Consider the following 4,096-nt stretch of genomic DNA (forward strand, 5'->3'; position numbering starts at 1 on the left):
ATGTAGGAGGTATAAGAGCACCTAATGGAGTCAAACAATCTCTTCATTGTACATTGCATTTTGTCTTCATTCTTTCTCTTGACTCTTCTTTCATGTGTTCAGCAGGCAGAGGAGGTAAGACGCTAGCCAATCCTAAGCCAAAAGAACAAAGCTGGAGGCATCACGCTACCTGACGTCAAACTATACTACAAGGCTACAGTAACCAAAACAGCATGGTACTGGTACCAAAACAGAGATATAGACCAATGGAACAGAACAGAGCCCTCAGAAATAATGCCACATATCTACAACTATCTGATCTTTGACAAACCTGACAAAAACAAGAAATGGGGAAAGGATTCCCTATTTAATAAATGGTGCTGGGAAAACTGGCTAGCCATATGTAGAAAGCTGAAACTGGATCCCTTCCTTACACCTTATACAAAAATTAATTCAAGATGGATTAAAGACTTAAACGTTAGACCTAAAACCATAAAAACCCTAGAAGAAAACCTAGGCATTACCATTCAGGACATAGGCATGGGCAAGGACTTCATGTCAAAAACACCAAAAGCAATGGCAACAAAAGCCAAAATTGACAAATGGGATCTAATTAAACTAAAGAGCTTCTGCACAGCAAAAGAAACTACCATCAGAGTGAACAGGCAACCTACAAAATGGGAGAAAATTTTTGCAACCTACTCATCTGACAAAGGGCTAATATCCAGAATCTACAATGAACTCAAACAAATTTACAAGAAGAAAACAAACAACCCCATCAAAAAGTGGGCGAAGGATATGAACAGACACTTCTCAAAAGAAGACATTTATGCATCCAACAGACACATGAAAAAATGCTCATCATCACCGGCCATCAGAGAAATGCAAATCAAAACCACAATGAGATACCAGCTCACACCAGTTAGAATGGCAATCATTAAAAAGTCAGGAAACAACAGGTGCTGGAGAGGATGTGGAGAAATAGGAACACTTTTACACTGTTGGTGGGATTGTAAACTAGTTCAACCATTGTGGAAGTCAGTGTGGTGATTCCTCAGGGATCTAGAACTGGAAATACCATTTGACCCAGCCATCCCATTACTGGGTATATACCCAAAGGACTATAAATCATGCTGCTATAAAGACACATGCACACGTATGTTTATTGTGGCACTATTCACAATAGCAAAGACTTGGAAACAACCCAAATGTCCAACAATGATAGACTGGATTAAGAAAATGTGGCACATATACACCATGGAATACTATGCAGTCATAAAAAATGATGAGTTCATGTCCTTTGTAGGGACATGGATGAAATTGGAAATCATCATTCTCAGCAAACTATCACAAGGACAAAAAAACCAAACACCGCATGTTCTCACTCATAGATGGGAACTGAACAATGAGAACACATGGACACAGGAAGGGGAACATCACACTCTGGGGACTGTTGTGGGGTGGGGGGAGGGGGGAGGGTTAGCATTAGGAGATATACCTAATGCTAAATGACGAGTTAATGGGTGCAGCACACCAGCATGGCACATGTATACATATATAACTAACCTGCACATTGTGCACATGTACCCTAAAACTTAAAGTATAATAATAATTAAAAAAAGAAAAAAAAAGAATAAAGAATATCTCTACATACTGCCAAAAAAAAAAAAAAAAAAGATTCAGATCACTCCCCTCCCGCCCCCGCCCTATATGTTGCCTGCCTCGGCCTCTGGGGCATGGAGCACGCGGCCCAGCCCTGGCGATGGCGACGGCGACGGCGACGGCGGTGGTGGAGGAGCGCCTGCTGGCTGCGTTCGCCTACCTTCAGTGCGCCGTGGGCTGCGCGGTCTTCGCTCGGAATCGTCAGACGAACTCAGTGTACAGCCGCCACGCGCCACCCAGCCGCAGGCTCCGAGTGCCGGCGCGGGCCACCCGGGTGGTGCAGAAGCTGCCCTCACTGGCCCTGCCGCTCTACCAGTACACCAGTGAGTCCACCCCGCGCCTCCGCAGCGCGCCCAGCTGCATCCTCCTGGCCATGTTCCTCGTCCACTACTGGCATCGGTGCTTAATTTACCCATTTCTGATGCGAGGAGGAAAGCCTGTGCCACTGTTGGCGTGCACAATGGCGATTATGTTCTGTACCTGTAATGGCTATTTGCAAAGCAGATACTTGAGCCATTGTGCAGTGTATGCTGATGACTGAGTAAAAGATCCCCGTTTTCTAATAAATTTTGGCTTGTGGTTAACGGGCATGTTGATAAACATCCATTCAGATCATATCCTAAGGAATCTCAGAAAAGCAGGAGATACTGGATACAAAATACCAAGGGGAGGCTTATTTGAATACATAACTGCAGGCAACTATTTTGGAGAAATCATGGAGTGGCGTGGCTATGCCCTGGCCAGCTGGTCTGTCCAAGGCGCGACTTTTGCTTTCTTCACATTTTGTTTTTTATCTGGTAGAGCAAAAGAGCATCATGAGCGGTACCTCCGGAAATTTGAAGAGTATCCAAAGTTCAGAAAAATTATAATTCCATTTTTGTTTTAAGTGCATTTTCAACGAATTACCTTCAACTTGAAGCTTTCCAATGGTATTTTTCAATGGACTTTGTAAATAAGTTATATCTTTGTAATTTTCCTGCTACTTCATCATTTTCAAGATGTCCTCTAGGAATTTTTTTTCTAGTAATTTTGCAAGCTACCTAATAAGTACCTAAATAAACTGAAACGGAGGTTGAGGTATCCTACTGTGTAACAGGTCAGAATTTCAAACTCCGGGTAATAACTGCTGACATTTTTTCTAATTTCAAATTTACCTCTTTTGGCTATGTCTTGCCAAGGGTGTACAAGACTAGAATTTGCAACTGTCTGATGGCATTTTCAGTCAAACTCCAGGTAATAACTGCTGACATTTTTTCTAATTTCGAATTTACCTCTTTTGGCTATGTCTTGCCAAGTGTGTATAAGACTAGACTTTACGACTATCTTTGATGGCATTTTCAGAACAATAAATGTCACAATCCCTTCTATAGCCCCCTACGGTGATCCCTTCAAGGTCAACGGCAGTGTTGCTTCCCTTTCCCTGTAGGGCTGGGATCTGTCTTGGAGTCCTCTCTCGGAGGCCACAGAGGCCGGGGGTAGCCATTGTGAAGTCATGGCCTGGGGGAAAGTTGCCAAACTTCGTGTCAGGTGCTGTGTGTAAGTGGAGAACTTGGGGATAGAGGAGGAAGCTCCTTGTGGCCCTTCTAAGGCGGGGCAAAGGCATCTGGACTTGTTCCAGCCCAGCCCACCGGGTGACATCACCGGGCAGGGAGGGGTGCTGGTGGTGGTTCATAGGGAGTAAGCTGCTCTGCCTGTGTGAGTGGCTCCTGGGCCCTAAACAAGCACCTTTAGGCCATGGGTCACTCACCATGAGCCATCAATATGCTCTGGTCTGACATGGTTTCTCTCTGTCTTCTAGTCTAGACCTAGTCTTTTGTTCTGTTCCCCAGGTATGGATATACTAGAGATTGTTGTCTGTGAAATTTCTCCTTTGTAGAGTTTGAGTTTTCCCTTGTAGTGTAAAGAATGATCACCTTCTGTAACGATAGCAAGACCACTTTTTAAGATTTATCCTCTTTGTTCTTTGTTGATTGAAACATAATAATTACATTGTTAAAATTCTCTACAGCCTTCTTTTTCTTCCATAGCTAATCTTCCAATAGTTTTTGCTTTCTGTTTCGCTGTTGTTGCTTTGCAAAGCTTTCCCCTCATAGCCTGTATCTGTTATCAATATAAAATAATCTTCCTGTTGAATGCTTCATGACTTGAATTCTACTTTGATAAAAACATTGCCATACTGCTTTAAAAAAAAGATTCAGATCACAGCTTCTTTCTTCATTGGGAGAACGGGCACTCAGTCTGCTCTGCATGGAAACCAACGTCTTTGCTCATTCACATGTGCATTCTTGGGCATCTTTGAAATATGAGTATCATCTTCCTTTCCAGTTTGCAGAGTAACAAATGTGTTTAGAGAGCACATTCAGTGAGTTTTCTGTCTGAACATTCTTTCTGAACATAATCAGCTATTTAGAACATGACTCACTCATCAAAAACATTGGTGTAGTTTGGAGAAACA

The 4,096-nt window shown here is 42.9% G+C and overlaps 1 pseudogene across 1 annotated transcript; it reads left to right on the forward strand.

Moving 5' to 3' along the window:
• The first annotated feature begins 1,669 nt into the window (after positions 1–1,669).
• On the forward strand, positions 1,670–3,824 carry SRD5A1P1 (steroid 5 alpha-reductase 1 pseudogene 1; annotated as a pseudogene). The gene has a single exon (NR_028597.1). The product of NR_028597.1 is annotated as a steroid 5 alpha-reductase 1 pseudogene 1 (transcript).
• Positions 3,825–4,096: the final 272 nt, after the last annotated feature.

This window comes from Homo sapiens, chromosome X (genome assembly GCF_000001405.40).
Source record: "Homo sapiens chromosome X, GRCh38.p14 Primary Assembly".
NCBI lineage: Eukaryota > Metazoa > Chordata > Mammalia > Primates > Hominidae > Homo > Homo sapiens.